The sequence below is a fragment of the Homo sapiens genome, chromosome X (genome assembly GCF_000001405.40).
Source record: "Homo sapiens chromosome X, GRCh38.p14 Primary Assembly".
Lineage (NCBI taxonomy): Eukaryota > Metazoa > Chordata > Mammalia > Primates > Hominidae > Homo > Homo sapiens.
In genome coordinates, this window is record NC_000023.11 from 103315004 (window position 1) to 103333810 (window position 18807).

The following is an 18807-nucleotide window of genomic DNA, read 5'->3' on the forward strand; positions in this document are numbered from 1 at the left end:
CAATAATTTTTGAAAAGTTGTTCAACTTCATTACTTTTTAAGAGAAATGCAAATTACAGCCAAAATGTGATGTCACTGAACACCACCCAGACTGTCTAAAATAATAAAGACAGAAAGCACCAAGTATTTTACAAGAATGTGGTACAACTAGAACTGGTACTACTGATTTGGAAAACTGGCAGAATATAGTCAAAATCAACATATGTATACTCTAAGACTGAACAATTTCGCTCTAGATATCCCTATGCTAATAATGTGTTCACTGGTCTACCAAACAGCATTTACACATATATCTGTAATAGCATTTTAAAAATTGCCAACAATTATCAAATACCCAAATATTTTTATCAGGAAAATGTATAAATAAATTATGTATTTACAGTGGAATATTATTCAACAATGAAAATGTACAGATTGCAACTACAAGCAATATAGATAGGCCTCACAAGCATAATGTTAATATAAAGAAGTCAGAGAGAAGAAAAGAGTATTTAATGTGTAACTCCATTTATATGAGTTTAAACACAGGCAAAACTAATCTGTGATGTTAGAATTCTCGGTAGTAGCAGTCTTTAGTACTGGAATGAGGATTTTACAGTGTTGGTAATGTTCTATTTTTCTTTGTTGTTTTGTTTTAAATGCTGGTTCAATGGTTTTACTTTGTGAAACTTCATTGAGCTATAAATTTCTAATTTGGGCACATTTACATATGTATTTATACTTTATTGACTAAATGCAAAACAAATAGATATTCTTGTCATAGTAAATTGTTAAATCTAAAACAATTTTCACACTATAGCTGGGAAGGTAATTTGGTACATTCTTTATAGAAGGCAATTTGACAGTAATTATTCAAAATTTTAGAAATATTCGTACTATTTGACATAGTTATTTCACTATTTACATTCTATTCTACAACAAATATCTAAATGTGTGAAAAGGTTTATGCTTAAAGATATTCATGGTAGTAAAACATATAACAGTAAAACAATGGGAAAAACAAAATATGCCAATATTGATTATTTGGCTTAAATAAGTTATTACATATTCATATCGAGTTCCATAAAAAGATAAAAATATGCTATAAAGGGATATTTAATGATAAAGAAAACTTTTCATTATTTATACTTTAAATAATAGCAAATTAGATTAGAAACAGCATGATCAATGGGATTCTAATATTTATACATACATATGTATAAACATGGAATGTAGTAGATAAAATATAATCATTTCTTATTTCTGAACATACTTACATAATAGGATATTAAAACAATTTCTACACATAAAACCACCAGAAACAAAAATATAAGTAAATACAAACTAGGAAAAATGTGCAGAACATATATCATAAATTCATTTTAACCTCATTTTTCCATGTCAGAAAAACGTGATGATCAATTTCTATCACTTCTTTCACAAGTGTGCTTACGATACAGGATAAGCTACTATAATGTAGAGGCCCCAAACATACGATGGTTCAAACAAGAGAGAATTTCTTCTCTCAAACAAAAGTGTAGTTTTCTCACACAAAATAGTCCAGAGATAGAAAGGGAGTTTGGGGCCGGGCGCGGTGGCTCACGCCTGTAATCCCAGCACTTTGGCAGGCCGAGGCGGGCAGATCACGAGGTCAGGAGATCGAGACCAGCTAACATGGTGAAATGCCGTCTCTACTAAAAATACAAAAAATTAGCCGGGCGTGGTGGTGGGCGCCTATAGTTCCAGCTACTCGGGAGTCTGAGGCAGGAGAATGGCGTGAACCCGGGAGGCAGAGCTTGTAGTGAGCCGAGATCGCACCACTGCACTCCAGCCTGGGCGACAGAGCGAGACTCCAAAAAAAAAAAAAAAAAAAAAAGAAAGGGAGTTTGGGGCAAGTGGATTTGTCTACTATATGACTATATGAGGTTAGGTGCCTTCTGTTTTGTTGCTCTACCATCTCCTAGAGTGTTGATTTTGTATTTCTTCTGAGTTTTAGAATGCAGGACGGAGGAAAGAGGAAGTAGAAAGCAAACAATTCTCTTTTGTAGAAATGACACAGAAGTTGTACACTCCACATCTACTCACATTCCATTGCAAAGAATTTGGACAAGTAGACATACTTGGTTTCAAAGGATGCTGGGAAATGTTAGTTTCTAGTTGAGTCATCAAGAGTTTTTCTAGGCGAGGTGGCTCAAGCCTGTAATCCCAGTACTTTGGGAGGCTGAGGCCAGGAGTTTGAGACTAGCCTAGGCAACATAACGGGACGTTGTCTCTACAAAAAATTAGCCAGGTGTAGTGGCGCGCGCCTGTTGACCCAGCTACTAGGGCGACTGGGGTGGGAGAATCGCCTGAGCCTAGGTGGTCGAGGCTGCAGTGACCCATGAGCATGCCACTGCACTCCAGCCTGGGCGACAGAGGGATATCCTCTCTCAAACAGAAACAAACAAAGCCAAGAGCTCTTCTAAAACTTTGGGGAGCAAAGTCCTATTACCTAAAGGAAGGTGGAATACATTGTCTCTGGGGACAACTAGTGCTCTTGGCTAAAATGAGCGATGCAATAAGGTTACAATCAGCAACCAAACTTTGGCAAAGTTGATAATCTGGAATACATCCACACAAAACTCAATATAGTGTAAAACATAAGGTTTTTCTCTATTTTTATCTAAGAATCAGTATAGTATAAAGCCACCCTGATCAACCATATTCACTATAACTTTGTTGTAGTTAAATTTTATAAGTATCATTGATTATGGATATCTAGGAATGGATTTGTGGGCTCAAGGTAGATGTATATTTTTAATGCATTTGTCTAAGTTCTATACAGAAAGATTGAAAAATTCAGATTTCATGACTTGAAAATAAGCAAGAAAGGCCTTACGAAAGTGCAGAACACAGATTTTCTGACTTCATGTCATAAACTGCTTGCAGTGAACCACTTTCAGACAATAGACATCATCCATAGACACTTCCAAAGAAGGAGAAAGTGGACTTCAATCCACAAGCAGCATGAAACAGGCCAAGGCAACTTGCGCCTGGGTCCCTTCAGTCAGGTCTCCTTCCTTCTTCCCATCCTAATTCTACACCCTGCCCATCCTCTGAGACTCAGGTCAAGTACTTTTCCTCCTTGAGGCTTTTTCTATTTGGGGCCAATCTGGCATTGCCTTCCCCTAGAACCTATTGGCCTGACAGTCAACCCCTCCCTTTAGTCCTTTCTCCATATGGCCCCATATGAAGGGTTATTCAGCCCACCCAGAGAGAGTAGATTTCTCACCAGTGTAGACCCTTGCTCTGAGACCCAGCCCTTTTCATCCAAAGTACACAGGGCAGTTCTGGGCATCTGGGGAGCCTCCAAAATAACTATTGACTCATCAGTGAACAAAGGGAAGGAGGTTGAATGAAGAAGATGGGAGAAAACATAGGGATGTATTGAGACAGTCCTCATTCTAAAACTGGATTAATTCCCAGGCTTGGCACTAACCAGCTATGTAACCTTGGATATTTTACTTAAACCTCTCTGAAGGAGAGGCTTGGATATCTTACCTAAAACTCTCTGAAGGAGAGGGGGTGACAATGGAGGGAGAAACACCAGAGAATGGGCTGCCCTAATAGTTCATATGTAAGATGATAAGGGCCTAAACCAGGAGAGTGACAGATTCAGCCATCAGAGTGAAGAAAGACGGACTTGTTGCTTAGGGAAGGGGTAAAAATCAAACAAGGCTCTGAGATTTCAAGACAGAGTGACCAGAAAAATTAATATGACTGGTAGGATTAATTTATATTAAGAGCATTTTGGGTTTTACATTATTTTGGGTTTAATATCCTTCTATTCTCTCACTCAAAGATGACTGTGAATTAGCAACAAGGGACTGAAAAGTAAAGTTAGCACCCATACACTTGTAGTTACCAAATTGTATCATCCAGACAAAGGCAAACTCTTTGTTGTAGTCAATATTTAAAGCTCTGTACCTTGATATCTCTGTGAGTGTGTGTGTCTTAATTAAAAATCTATATATGTACCTATGTATTCATGTATGTATGTATACATATGTATATGTGTGTACATATATAGTTTTAAAATTAAGTCTTTGGTGTTTATAGAAACTGCATTGCAAGAAGTGTGAGGGGGGAACTCATTAGCTGCTTGCTGGAGGCCACCACACTACATTTTCTTAAGCACATTACAACTACAGGCTTTCCTTCGATAGCATTAAACATCAATGGCTGATAAATACTAAAAAGAGCATTTATTTCTTCGTGAAAGAAAACAATACAGCTTATTAATCCAAAGAGATCATATCCAAGTCTAATAAAACCCCTGAATATGATTGCCAATTTTTAGGAAAGAGGATCAGGTTGGACTATACCATTAGTAGACAGCAAAATCCAGTATTGTGGGAAACTGTACAAGTCAAATAGCTCAGGTTATTCCACAAATAATTTGTAAGGAAAAGCAAGAGAAGGACAGAAAATCTGTAGATTAATACTTTAAATAACCATAAAAAATTTAAAATGAGCAAGACTAAACTCTAAACTGTAGTGTCCAGCTATGCAATGCACACTTGGGAGATAAAACCACAAAGAAACCAAAGAAAGTGATTACTATAAACGTCAAAATAGTAGTTGCTTTTTTGGAAAAGGGAAGAGGTACATGGAGGGGCTTCTAAGGTGGCTGGGAAATTTTCATCTTTTTATCTGAGTGATGGTAACAAGAGTGTTCACCTTATACTATTTCACTAACCTACACACTTTTTAACACAATTACTTCCTTATTTTTTATTTTTTAATTTTGTGGGTACATAGTGGGTGTATATATTTATGAGTTATATGAGATATTTCGATGAAGGCATGCAAAATGAAATAATCACATCAGGGAAAATAGGGTATCCATCACCTCAATCACTTATCCTTTGTGTTTCAAACAACCCAATTATATTCTTTTAGTTATTTTAAAATGAACAATCAAATCATTTTTTACTATAGTTTTATTCTTTCTATTTGTCTGTACCCTTTAACTATCCTCCTTTCCCACCCCCCACCCCCAAATACCCTTCCCAGCCTCTGGTAATCATCCTTCTACTCTCTATCTCTATGAGTTCAATTGTTTTAATTTTTAGCTCCCACAAAAGAGAGAGAACATGCAATATTTGACTTTCTGTGCTTGGCTTATTTCACTTAACATAATGACCTCCAGTTCCATCCATGTTGTTGCAAATCAGAGGATTTTATTCTTTTTATGGCTGAATAGTACTCCATTGTGTATACGTACACTTTCTTTATCCACTCATCTGTTGATTGACACTTAGGTTATTTCCAAATCTTGACTATTGGTGAACAGTGCTGCAACAAACATGGGAGTACAGACATCTCTTTGATATACTGATTTCCTTTCTTTTGGGTACATACCCAGCAGAGGAATTGTTGCATTGTATGGTAGCTCAATTTTTAGTTTTTTTGAGGAAACTCCAAAGTGTTCTCCATAGTGGTTGTACTAATTTACATTCCTATCAATGGTGAATGAGGGTTCCCTTTTCTCCACATCCTTGCTACCATTTGGTATTGCCTGTCTTTTGGATGAAAGCCATTTTAGCTGGGGTAAGATTGTATCTCATTGTACTTTCGATTTGCATTTCTCTGATGATCAATGATGTTGAGCACCTTTCAATACACCTGTTTGCTATTTGTATGTCTTCTTTTGAGAAATGTCTATTTAAATCTTTTGCCCATTTTTAAATCAGATTATTAGATTTTTTTCCTTTAGAGTTCTTTGAGCTCCTTATGTAGTCTGGTTATTAATCCCTTGTCATATGGGTAATTTGCAAATATTTTCTCCCATTCAGTGGGTTGTCTCTTCACTTTGTTGATTGTTTCCTTTGCTGTGCAGAAGCTTTTTAATTTGATATGATCCCATTTGTCCATTTTTCCTTTGGCTGTCTGTGCTTGTGGGGTATTACTCAAGAAATCTTTGCCCAGACCAATGTCCTGGAGAGTTTTCCAGAGGTTTTCACAACGAAGTTTCATAATTTGAGGTCTTAGATTTAAGTTTTTAATCCATTTTTATTTGATTTTTATATATGGTGAGAGATAGGAGTCTAGTTTAATTCTTCTACAGATGGATATCCAGTTTTCCTAGAACCATTTATTGAACAGATCATCTTTGCCCCAGTGTAAGCTCTTGGGACCTTTGTCAAAAATGAGTTCACTGTAGGTCTGTGGATTTGTTTTTGGGTTCTCTCTTCTATTTCATTCATCTATGTGTCAGTTTTTATGCCAGTACCACGCTGTTTTGGCTAGTATAGCTCTGTAGTGAAGTTTGAAGTCAGGTAGTGTGATTCCTCGTGTTTTGTTCTTTTTGCTCAGGATGTGGTTCCATATAAATTTTAGGATTGTTATTTCTATTTATGTGAAGAATGTCACTGGTATTTTGGTAAGGATTGCATTGAATCTGTAGATTGCTTTGGGTAATACGGACTTTTTAACAATATTGAATTTTTGGTGTCCTCTTCAATTTCTTTCATCAGTGTTTTATAGTTTTCATTATAGAGATGTTTTACTCCTTTGGTTAAGTTTATTCCTAGGCATTTTATTTTATGTGTGGCTCTTGTAAATGGGATTTTTTTGTATTTTTTTCAGATTGTTTCCTGTTGGCATACAGAAATGCTACAGATTTTTGTGTGTTGATTTTTTATCCTGCAACTTTACTGAGTTTGTTTATCAGCTCTAATAGTTTTCTTGTGGAGTCTTCAGGTTTTTCCAAATATAAGATCATATCATCTGCAAACAAGGATAACCTGACTTCTTCCTTTGCAATTTGGATGTCCTTTATTTGTTTCTCTTGTCCAATCGCTGTAGCTAGAACTTCCAGTACTATGTTGAATAACAGTGGTGAAAGTGGACATGGCATCCTTGTCTTGTTCCAGTTCTTACAGGAAAGGCTTTCAGTTTTTTCCCCATTCAGTAGGATACTAGCTGTAGGTCTGTTGTATATGGCTTTTATTATGTTGAGGTGTGCTCCTTCTATACCCAGTTTTTTGTAGGGCTTTTAACATGAAGGGATGTTTAATTTTATTAAATGCTTTTTCAACATCAATTGAAATGATCACATGGTTTTGTGTTTCATTCTATTAATATGATGTTTCATAATGATTGATTTGTGTATGTCGAACCATTTTTGCACCCCTGGGATAAATCCCACTTGGACATGATGAATGGATCTTTTTAATGTATCGTTGAATATGGTTTGCTAGTATTTTGTTAAAGTTTATTTGTATCAATATTCATCAAAGATATTGGCTTGTAGTTTTCTTTTTTTTTTTTTCTGATGTGTCTTTTGTCTGGTTTTGATACCAAGGTAACACTGACTTTGTAGAATGAGTTTGGAAGTAGTCCCCCCTCTACTTTTGGAATAGTTTCCGTAGGATTTGTATGATGAGGTTTCACCATTATTGGCCAGGCTGGTCTTGAACTCCTGACCTCAAGTGATCTGCCTGCCTCAGCCTCCCAAAGTGCTGGGATTACAGGCATGAGCAACCACGCCCGGCCCTCCTGCTTGGATTTTGATTGTGATTGCATTTAATCTGAAGATCACTTGGGAAAGGAGAACTGACATCTTAACAATATGGTATTAAGTCTCCTCAAAAATATCCATAAATAATGACATATTTCTATATTCATTTGTTTTATTCTATTTACTTTGGGTTTAATATCCTTTTATTCTCTAGCTTTTGTACATAAAAATTTAGATAATCGATGTTAGACCTCTCTTTTTTTCTAATATAAGCATTTAAAATTACAAATTTCTCCCTAAACACCATTTTAACAGCATCTCCAAAATTTGATATGCTATCGTTGAGTTTGAAATATTTCTATTTTGTCTGTAATTTATTTATTTAACCTATGGGTTATTTACAATATTTGTGGCTTTTTCTAGATATTTAATGTTTCTGTTTTTTAATTAAGTACATTTTTGGTATTCAGAGAACATACTCTGTAAGTCCTATTCAAGTGAGTCCAGATAGCATGAAAGCGCACTCTGGTTACAGAGGAAAAAAGCTTTCATGATTAACTTGAATTTAAAACGTTAAGCTAACAAAATAAGTTATCTTTTCCTATTTGTTCCTTTGAAGTGGTAAGCCCTACTATTGGCTGAAACATTATTCTGGATGTTTCTGTGAGGGTGTTTTCTGGATGAGATTAACATTTAAATTTGTGGACTTTGAGTAAAGCAGATTGCTCTGTATAATGTGCGCAGGCCTCATCCAATCAGCTGAAGGCCTTAATAGAACTAAAGACTGACCTCTCCTGAGCAAGAGGGGATTCTGCTGGCAAACAGCCTTCAGACTGGCACTGCAACATCAACACTCCTTGGGTCTGCAGGCTGCCTGCCTACCCTGCAGATTTTGGGCTTGTCAGTCTCCATAATTGCATGAATCTATTCCATGAGCCTATGCACACACACACACCCTATTGGTTTTATTTCTCTGCAGAACCTTGACTAATTCAGACATCTAGTTGTGAAAACCATAGACAAGAGAGCCCCTCTGCCCCCTTCCCCTAATACTCCAAATGGCTTCAGTGGCCACCTTTTAAAAATATTTGTTTTAAATATTCATATTTTAAAAATTGTAAACATTGCATTTCAAATTGTGTCAGTATCCTGCACACTTTGAGTTACCCATGGGTACTAACTCACTCAGCATCTATTTTCTTACATAGTTGATAATCACCAGGAGCTGCTAAGAAGCCCAGGTATAAATCCCACAGGAACTGGTTAATAACTGAGCCAAATGGGCATGGAGGAGACAACACAGGCAGATGATCTGTTGTGTAACCATAGACAAGCATCAGATTTCTCATGTGTTAAATGTAGAAAAGAATCTTTACCTTATAGGCTGATGAGGGGTTACATGGGATAGTGCACTGGCTTACGCACCTAGCCTATGCTTGGCACATAGCAGAAAACCACCAAAGCTGAGGTTTTTCAGAGGTCTCTAGATGGCAAATACCATGTCCTCATGGGTATCCTTCCCACCTACCCATCCACTCAAAACTGACACAGATCAGTGGACATACAATCAATTATTGTGATCGCCTTTCATTGAGTTCCATAGGTGTAAGGACCTATCATTTGTCAAATTTCATTACCCAGGGATAAACATGTTTGACAGGGTAGTACATATTTTTATGTATCTGGTATTATTTTCATATTATTTTATATTCTTTTTACCATGAACAATGTATCTTGGCAATATTTTACATTAGACATGTTAGATATACCTGATCTTTTTAAATGGCTACATAATATTCTATTATATGGTTAACTACATTTTATTGGCTATAGATGAACATTTTGGTTGTTTTTAGTTTTTCTTTTTCCTTTTTTAAAGTAAGCTTGCTTTTCACCAACAAAGCTCGTGCAAAGATCAGGTACTCAATATATTTTTGCCACCTTATACCACTGTATTTTAGGATCTTCCCTATTAGTTCCTTAGGTAAATCCTTAGATGTGCTAGATTTGCTTTCAGAATTATAACATCATTTTCTACCCCCAATAACAGTATAGAGAACTTCCTATTCATCCACACCCACATAAAACTTGTATTTTCATATTCATACATTCTAATTTTTCAATACATTTTCTTGCCTTATCAGTAAGTTAATCTTTCTTTTATTATTTATTCTTAGCTTATTATTGTTTCAAATTTTTAACATCTAAATGTTTAATTCATTCAGATGTCTTTTTAGGATCGGGAAAATTTATATTATCCTAAAGTATTAACCAATTATCTCGACAGCATGTCTTTACTGCTAAATTGTGAGCTGTAACACATCTATTAAAAAATGCAGTAATCATAAATAAATAATTATAAAACAAACATCCAGGTAACATATAACCAAACTCAGGTCAAGAAATAGAACTTTGCAAGCACCTGTAACCCATCAGGTGATTTTTTTTACTAATTACAAAATACTACCTTCTTCCCAGAGGTAACCGTTATCCTAACTTTTACAGTCATTATTTCCTTGTTGTTCTTTAGAGTTTTACCACCTATAAATGCCCTTCCAACCATTTATTTTTGCCTGCAGTTTAACTTTAAGTAAATTTAATCATACTGTTTTTATTTATTTAGTCTTTATAGTACTCAAATTATGTGAGTTATGCCCATCCATGTTTTTATGTATAGATCTAGTTCATTCTCATTGCCATTTACTGTATCATTTCATGAATATAACATATTTATTCATTCTCATCTTTATGGATATTATTTTCAAATTTTTGGTTATTTACAAATAATGTTTCCATTAACATTCATATACATCTCTAATGGGTATTTATTAGAAGTTGGATTGCTGGGTTATAGGTATCCGTATCTTCACTTTTAATAGATAATGCCAAAATGCTTTCCAAAGTGATTGCATCATTTATACTCTCAACAGAACATTTTTTTCTGGATACTAGTTTTTTGTCAGTTATATCTGAAATATATTCAAAAGTAGTTTAGAAAAATAAAACAAAACCTGACTGTATCCACCTTTATGCTGTAACAATTTTCAATTTATGGTCAACCTGTTTTTATTCCCACCCACTTCTTTCCTACCATATTATTTCAAAGCAAATTCCAAATAGCATATATTTTCATCTGTTGATGTATCAGTATGTATATCTAAAAGATAAGCCCTTTTTAAATTTAGCCACAATATCATTATTACACCTAAAAATAACTCCTTAATATCAAATATCTATTCAGTGTTCAAATTTTCACTTGTTCCATAAATTATCATGGTTTCTTTTGTTACATTTGTTTCAGTTAGGATCTAACACACATTACCCTTGCTTGATATGTCTCTTAATTCTCTTTTAATCCAAAGGTTTCCCATTCATTTTTATAAAATATGCTTTTATTGTGGTAAAATATACACAACTTAAAATTTACCATTTTAACCATGTTTAAGTGTATGGTTCAATGGCATTAAGTACACTCAAATTGTTGTGCAACCATCACTACTGTTCATCTCCAGAACTTTTTCATCTTCCCAAACTGAAACTTTGTGCCCGTTAAATAGTAACTCCCCATTTTTTTGCTTCCCCTAGCCTCTGGCAACTGCTGTTCTACTTTCTGTCTCTATGAATTTGACTACTCTAGGTACCTCATATAAGTGGAAACGTAAAATATCAATCCTTTTCTGCCTGGCTTATTTCACTTAACATAATGTCTTCAAGGTTTGTCGATGTTGTAGCATGTATCAGAATTTACTTTCTTTTTAAGGCTGTATAATATCCCATTGTATGTATATACCATGCTTTATTTATTCATTCATCTGTCCATGGACATTTCTTGCTCTGAAATCTACTGTGCTGATATTAATCTAACCATTCCATCTTTCTTATGATTTGTGTTTCCATACTATTTCTTTTTTCATTCTTTTACTATTAACCAATGTGTGTCTGTAAATGTGTTTCTGCATAAAACCAAATACCACACATTCTTGCTTATAAGTAGGAGCTAAACATTGAATACATATGAACACAAAGAAAGGAACAACAGACACCAGGGCCTACTTGAGGGTGGAGGGTGGCAGGAGAGTGAGGATAGAAAAAACTACCTATTGGGTACTATGCTTATTAACCTGGGTGACAAAACAATCTATACACCAAACCCCCATGACATGCAATTTACCTATATAAAAAGCCTGTATGTGGCTGGGTGCGGTGGCTCACGCCTGTAATCCCAGCACTTTGGGAGGCCGAGGCAGGCGGATCATGAGGTCAAGAGATAGAGACCATCCTGGCTAACACGGTGAAGCCCCGTCTCTACTAAAAATACAAAAAATTAGCTGGGCGTGGTGGCGGGAGCCTGTAGTCCCAGCTACTCGAGGGGCTGAGGCAGGAGAATGGCGTGAACCCGGGAGGCGGAGCTTGCAGTGAGCTGAGATCGTGCCACTGCACTCCAGCCTGGGCAACAGAGCGAGACTCCGTCTCAAAACAAAAAACAAAAAACAAACAAAAAAAAAAAACCTGTATGTATACTCATGAACCTAAAATAAAAGTTAAAAAAAGAAAAGAAAAGAAAAGCCTGTTTCTTATAAAAAGCAAACAAGTGGTTTGGCATTTTTACCCAATCTGTCAATCTCTCTGTTTTAGTCAGTGTTCCTCAGAAAGACAGAACTGGTAGAATACATAAAGAAATATATGAAAAGGGATTTATTAGGGGAATTGGCTCACTTAATTATGGAGGCTGAGAAGTCCTACAATAGTCTGTCTGCAAGCCGGAGAGTGAGGAAGGCTGATAGTGTGGCTCAATCCAATTCCAAAGACCTCAGAACCATGGAATCCAATGGTGTAATTATCAGTCTGAGGCCAAAGGTCTGAGAGCCCCAGGTTGGGTGTATGGTGAGGGTTGTGGGGGGTGGCTGCTGGTGTAGTTCCTGGAGTTCAAAGGCCAGAGAACCTGGAGTTATGATGTCCATGGGCAGCAGAAGAAGATTTTCCTAACTCCAGTAGAGAAATGGTGAAAATTCACCTTTCCTCCACCTTTTTGTTCCATTGGTCCTTCAGCCGGTTAGATGGTGCCCACTCACATTGAGGCTGCCCTCTTCCCCCACTCAATCCACCAATTCACATGTAAATCTCCTCTGGAAATACCCTCACAGACACACCTGAGGAAGCCCAATCATTTTAATCGAAAGCAAAATCACCTAGGTTTCCCTTTGAGCAGAAGAGAGACTGGCTCAGTGCCCACTGAAGCACTGAGAATAAATAATGCTTTAACAGCTATCTGAGTAACCCTTAATCTAGTCAAGCTGACACCCAAAGTCAACCACTACACTCTTCTTTTTTAGCGGGCATGCTTAGGCAATTAATGTTTGATGTAATGATTAATACAATTGGATTTAAAACTAGTATTTTGCTATTTGCTTGCAGATGTCCCATCTTATTATTGTTCCTTTTTACCCTTTTTTCATGCCTTATTAAAAATTAATTGAGATGTGAGGAGCTAGATGTCAGCAAAATGGCAGAACAGGACTTTCCTGCACTCATCCTCCCACAGAAACATAATCTGAACAACTATCTGGGCACAAAAATAATTTCGCAAGAGCTAAGGAAACCAGTTGGCAGATTACAGCACCTGGGTATAGAACAGAAATAAGAAAAAAACACATTGAAAAGGATAGGAAGGAAAGTTTTACATTACCCACATCACCCCTTCCTGAACCCCAGGCTGCACAGCTTGGAGGTACCATCCACTTGGGGGAAGGAGAAGGAAGTGAACACCAGACTTTTTCTTGGATCCCAACACTAGGCCCATCCCAGTAATACCCAGCACTGGACCCGCCCCCATGGTCCCAGACTCTAGGCCAGTACCTGCAGACTGAGCCTCCAGGCCTGCTTTAGCACTAGTCTGGATCCCACAGCCCCAGGCTCCAGGCCTGCTCTAAAAACTCAGTGTCTAGGCCTGCCCCACTGCCAAACTGACCCCCTGGGCTGCAGGCTTCAGCTTCACCCACCTCCCCCATCCCTGGTGCCAGACCTGCCCCCACATATTTAGGCTTCAGGCTGCCTTGGTACTTGTCAGTCATGTATTAAATGTTTTACACATATTAAATATGTAATTTAGTCCTGAAAACTCTGTGAGATACTTCAAACTATTAGCCTCATTTTATAGATGAAGCACAGAGAAGTTGCAGTATCCAAGTTTTACATTCAAGTTTATACAAAAGCTAAGTAAGTACAATTAATTCAAACTAGGATTTGTCCAATGCCATTCTTCTTACTAATATGCAAAGTCTTCAACACCCGAATCCTTCAGCCATTTTATAACTCTGAGTCTAACCATCTGCATGAAAAGCTGTTCACAGAGGATTCAGGAATTTTTCTCCCCACAAACGAATTTTTTGCCTCTATCACAACTAGTCATTCCTTAATAACTGTGACAATGATGCTCTACTGTTTTTAAGACTTTTTTCTGACCACTGAACTTTTTTCTGGAGTCATTTATATCAAACTGATTAGTGGTAACTTTATATTCATAATGAGCTGCAATCTTCCTAAAAACAACTTATGAGAAGTTTACACATCTCCCTTTCTATTGCATATATTTCAAGCTAACAAATCAAGAGCAAATCTACTTAGACAAGTACCCAAATCCTTAGCAACAAAAAGTTTAGTGTGTTGGGTGGCTAAATGTGACTAATTTTTGTTAGTACTACAAGTAGCTTTCAATACATCAGTATGGCTAAATAAGGTCATGGAAAACATAAATAGGATGGAGATGTCTAGGGAAAATGAAAAACTATTCTTTTCTGAATGAGAGTGTTGAAAAAAGTTGGGATATTAGGGGTACAGTATTGAAGAAAAAAGGGTTATGTGTATGGTATAAACTGGAAGAAAGAGGGCATGATACTGAGCTCAAACTAGTTAAAATTTGTGACTTACAGTTGCGATCTGGAAATCTAAGGGCAAGGTGCTGTAGGATTATGGTCTCAGTGACTCACCTAATGGAAGGACCTCACATGCCCGGGAGCCCCTCAAAAGAGTAGGTTCCAACTGACCTGTACATCTTAAACTTCAAAAAATATGTCTGCCTAAAGGGTCTATATTTATATTATGACTTCAGCAGCAGAAACAGGTGGCTGGCCTTTTTATCCTCCTATCTGGAATCTTTTTCCAAATGTACATATCTTTATCATATTTCTGATTATTAAAAGTATATAATAAGTTTATGGAAAAATTGGAAAAGAATAAGAAATTATCAAAACAAAAGTAAGAAGCACAATCCAAATCATTACCTCCTTTCCTAATTCACCCCATTCCCTCCAATCTGGTTTCAAGGATTGGACTCCAAGGGAAATGATGGCTATTAGTGGCTGAGAGGCGATTGGATGGAGGAGACTGCCACTTTTCTTTTCTTGTAGCTTAGAAAAGGATAAGTAATCCTCCCTCTCAGCACAACCACAAAAAAAGTAACAATGGTTAATATAACTTTGGGAAAATGCAGCCCCTCCCTGGTAATCAGAGAAAGGCAAATTCTGACCACAGGGAGAAGGCGCCACTTTTGACCTCTGGAATTAGCAAAGACAAAAATGAGTGACAGGGCCTGGTGTGGTGTGGGGTGGGAGGTTGGTAAGCCGGTCCACTTCTGCAGCGCTGCTGGTGGGAGGGGAAAGTGGGGACCAGAGATGGGGGATGACATAATCCTCACGTGATCAGGAGCTGACGTGAACCGAAGTCCTTATATTCCCGGGCTTCTTTCTCCTCTGGGTACCAGCTCCTTACTGCCCTGCAGACAAGCGTGCCGTGCGTGCTTGTGGCCAAGGGAAGGAAGAGGTAAATTCCTTAAATCCCAGCAGGTTGGAGTGAAGGAACCACTGGACCCCCGGGGTCAGTAGTGGGTGAATCTAATGACTGGAATAGGTCCAGACTTGCTTTCCCAAAACCGCTGCAAAATCGTCGGAGATAATTGTATCTTTTGCAGGGGGAAGCAAGGGGGTAGGTCGAAATCTTTTGAGAGACACCTAGAGATTTAGTGACAGCTTTGAAATAATCGGCTTCTCTCACCCTGGCATGCTTTCTTTTTATCCTTCTCCTCATCTTTCTCCAATTTTGTTAAGAGAAAATTTTAGGCCTGGGGTATGTGTTGGTGTGTGGAGAAAGGCTGAAATCCCGGGATGGAGACAACAGAAATTTAGAGATCATTTGAAAATAGTTCACCTCACTCAATGCCGGCCTGTGGTGGTGGGGTGGGGCGCGGGACGGGGCGAAGGAGGGAGACGCGGGCCTTGCAAGGCCCAGGCCTGAGGGTGAGGAGTGGGGAGTGGAAACGGAAATCCTGAAGGAAAGGATACAGACAGGAAGGAGGGGCCAGGAGGTAGAAATCCGGGGGGCGATGACGGTGATGATGAGAATCCCAGGTTCAAAATAATAACGTCTGTCTTGTCTCTGGAGCTGGTTGATCCACAGATAGCTCCTTCCTCCCCGCCCCTTCCTTTTTGTTTGGAGGTCCCAGGATCTGTGTTCACAGACATCTGGGGGAAGAAAAGGAGCAGGAAACTACCCCGCACAGGTCAGTATGAGAGAGGCACTTAGACTGAGATCTCTGAGGATAGGAGTCGGGAAGGGGCAAAAGCTAGGCGAAATTTGCGGCTTCGCAGTCCATCTCCTTTTCTGCTCCGCCTCTCCTGCCTATTGGAGAGGCCATTAGCTTTGTCTGCTGGGGAAACGGTGGGTTCCTGAGGTGGGAGGGGAGAAAAGGGGGAGATGAGAGGGTGGAGGGAACTGCCGCAGACTTATGAGGTCTGGACCTGTGGGGCAGAGATGGGAAAGTATCTTGCCTCAGAGAGAAACTGACAATCGTGATTCAAAAGTAATGAAGCAATTTGTCTTTACATTTTCTCCCTAGAGTTAAGCAGGAAACAACAACAACATCATGCAAAAACCCTGCAAAGAAAACGAAGGAAAGCCAAAGTGCAGCGTGCCAAAGAGGGAGGAAAAACGCCCGTATGGAGAATTTGAACGCCAGCAAACAGAAGGGAATTTTAGACAGAGGCTGCTTCAGTCTCTCGAAGAATTTAAAGAGGACATAGACTATAGGCATTTTAAAGATGAAGAAATGACAAGGGAGGGAGATGAGATGGAAAGGTGTTTGGAAGAGATAAGGGGTCTGAGAAAGAAATTTAGGGCTCTGCATTCTAACCATAGGCATTCTCGGGACCGTCCTTATCCCATTTAATTAATTTCTCTGACAATTCAATTATTTTCTGTTATTAATGTTGCCACTGCTTTCTGTTTGTCTGCACTTTCTTGATAAATATTTGCTATCGTTTTACTCCAGTCATTCGATGTTGCTGAGATTTACATATGACTCTTGTCAACATCTCATCTTTTGACCCAATCTTATTCATTTAATAAGAGGTCTCATTCATTTGCATGGAAAAATGCTCATTGTATATTGCAAAGTGAAAATAACGAGTTGCAAAACAGTGTATACATATATGTGTGTATATATGTACACTTTATTTGTACATTTCTATGTGACATAATGCAAAGGAAAGTGTCTGATTTTATTATACACCAAAGGTTAACAGTGAATCTCTGTGTGATCTCTTTTTTTTTCTTTTTGCCTATCTGCATCTTCTCACTTGCCAAAAAATGAATATATGTTTATGTGTGTATATTACTTGTGTCACAAAAAACCCTAAAGTAGACAGTAAAAGAACTTGTCAATCGCCTTTGGAAGGCAATGAAACACTTAATAAACTCTCAATAACAGAAGCGTAAAAATGAAATGTAAACCTCCAATTACCTCTGGATCTCTTAGCCAGAGTAATAAACTGGTAATTATTACAGATACACACGTTTAAGACTCAGTCTTTTCATAGGGAAAATATTTGCCTCACAGGGCTGCTGTGGGAAGGAAATGAGGCAGTAACCAGCTGTGCTCAGTGGGATCTTGTTCCCCACTGTGCATACAGAATCCCAACCCACTATAGAATACACCAATAACTTCAGAGAGGGCCTGGCATGATTCAACTTGTACTCCGGAACAAGTCCAGTAGGCAGAGGTGGGGGCTTCCCTATCAGTCCTCTGTTATTGAGCCCTGTCTCCTCCCCTGGGTCCTGCCACACCTGCCCAACACTGCTGCCTCTTCTGCTGGGCCCTGTGCTCTCTGCTGGCCCCACTGCTGCTGATGCACTGCAGTCATTCAGGGCCAAAACCCAACCGAATTCCCTGGAGTCGTCAGTGGGTTGAACTCTGACTCTTGTCGTCTAAAGCTTCCTGTGCTTTATAGTGACATTTAACACAGGTGGGACTTCTCTAGGGTTGCTTGGGCCACAATGTCTTTCAGAGCCCTTAGTAAAACAGCCCCATCTGTTTTCAATCACAAGACCCTTCCTCTCCATAGGAGTCAGATGTGATGAGTCCACTTGGGATTTGGACTAGGGTATAAATTTAAGTCAAAGGCATCATGCTGTATTCAGAGTTGCTGCTCTAAGTCTAAGGAATGAGGCTTTGTCCTCTTGTGAGATAATCTCTTCCTGAAGGCTCCTGGCAGGCCTGACTTAGTGTGTTCAGAATAGTCTTGGGAGATGTGTAAATTGCACAATGTGATATAGGAAACAAATCTAAAACCAAATCCCTGCTTTTCATTTTTTCTCCCTGGAAACATGCAAAAATGCTTCATAAGACTAAGATGTGTGTGTGTGTGTGTGTGTGTGTGTGTGTGTATACATGCACATAAATGTGTATGTGCATATACATATATAAATATATATGTGCATATACATATATAAATATATATGCTATGTAAGACATGTATACTAATACATATATATTAAGCTTAATATATATGCTTTGTAAGACTAATATATAAGCATATATATAGTCTTAATATATATTAGTATATATAATATATAAATGTCTATATTACATATTATATGTAAGTATATATAATATATAAATGTCTACATTACATATATAAGTATATATATTAATATGTAGTCTTAATATACATTAGTATATATATATTAGTCTTACAAAGCATATATATGTAAATGTATAGAAATGTAAGCATTATTTCTAAACAGGATTTTTTACATTTTGCATCTCAAAGTAAAGACGACATCATATCTTTTATTATACTTCTATTAATCTATTAATCTTATTAACATACAGTGGGCATTTAATAAATTAACATACAGTGGGTATTTAATAAATGTGTACTTAGAATTATAGTGCCCAGTTTTACTTCTGATTACATTAAGTTGGTAATAACTCCTCTAGAAACTATATTTTTAAAAGGAGCCCAGTAAGAAAGGGATTATTCCCCAAATTC

The 18807-nt window shown here is 37.7% G+C and overlaps 1 protein-coding gene across 2 annotated transcripts, besides 1 other annotated feature; it reads left to right on the plus strand.

The window, feature by feature from the left end:
• TCEAL7 (transcription elongation factor A like 7) lies at nt 15236-17323 on the plus strand. Of its 2 annotated transcripts, none has more exons than NM_152278.5 (3): nt 15236-15301; nt 15920-16037; nt 16374-17323. In NM_152278.5, the coding sequence occupies exon 3, from the start codon at nt 16401-16403 to the stop codon at nt 16701-16703; it is 303 nt and encodes a 100-aa protein (NP_689491.1). In that variant the 5' UTR covers nt 15236-15301; nt 15920-16037; nt 16374-16400; the 3' UTR covers nt 16704-17323. The 2 variants fall into 2 exon arrangements, with proteins under 2 accessions (NP_689491.1, NP_001335187.1); NM_001348258.2 differs by having other exon boundaries at nt 15974-16037.
• Nucleotides 15752-16251: an enhancer, noted in NCBI's record as "H3K4me1 hESC enhancer chrX:102585683-102586182 (GRCh37/hg19 assembly coordinates)". NCBI's record gives its function as "activates a minimal SCP1, AML or CMV promoter by ChIP-STARR-seq in naive H9 embryonic stem cells {active_cell/tissue: H9 hESC(naive)}" and the evidence as "EXISTENCE:reporter gene assay evidence [ECO:0000049][PMID:30033119]".
• Nucleotides 17324-18807: the final 1484 nt, after the last annotated feature.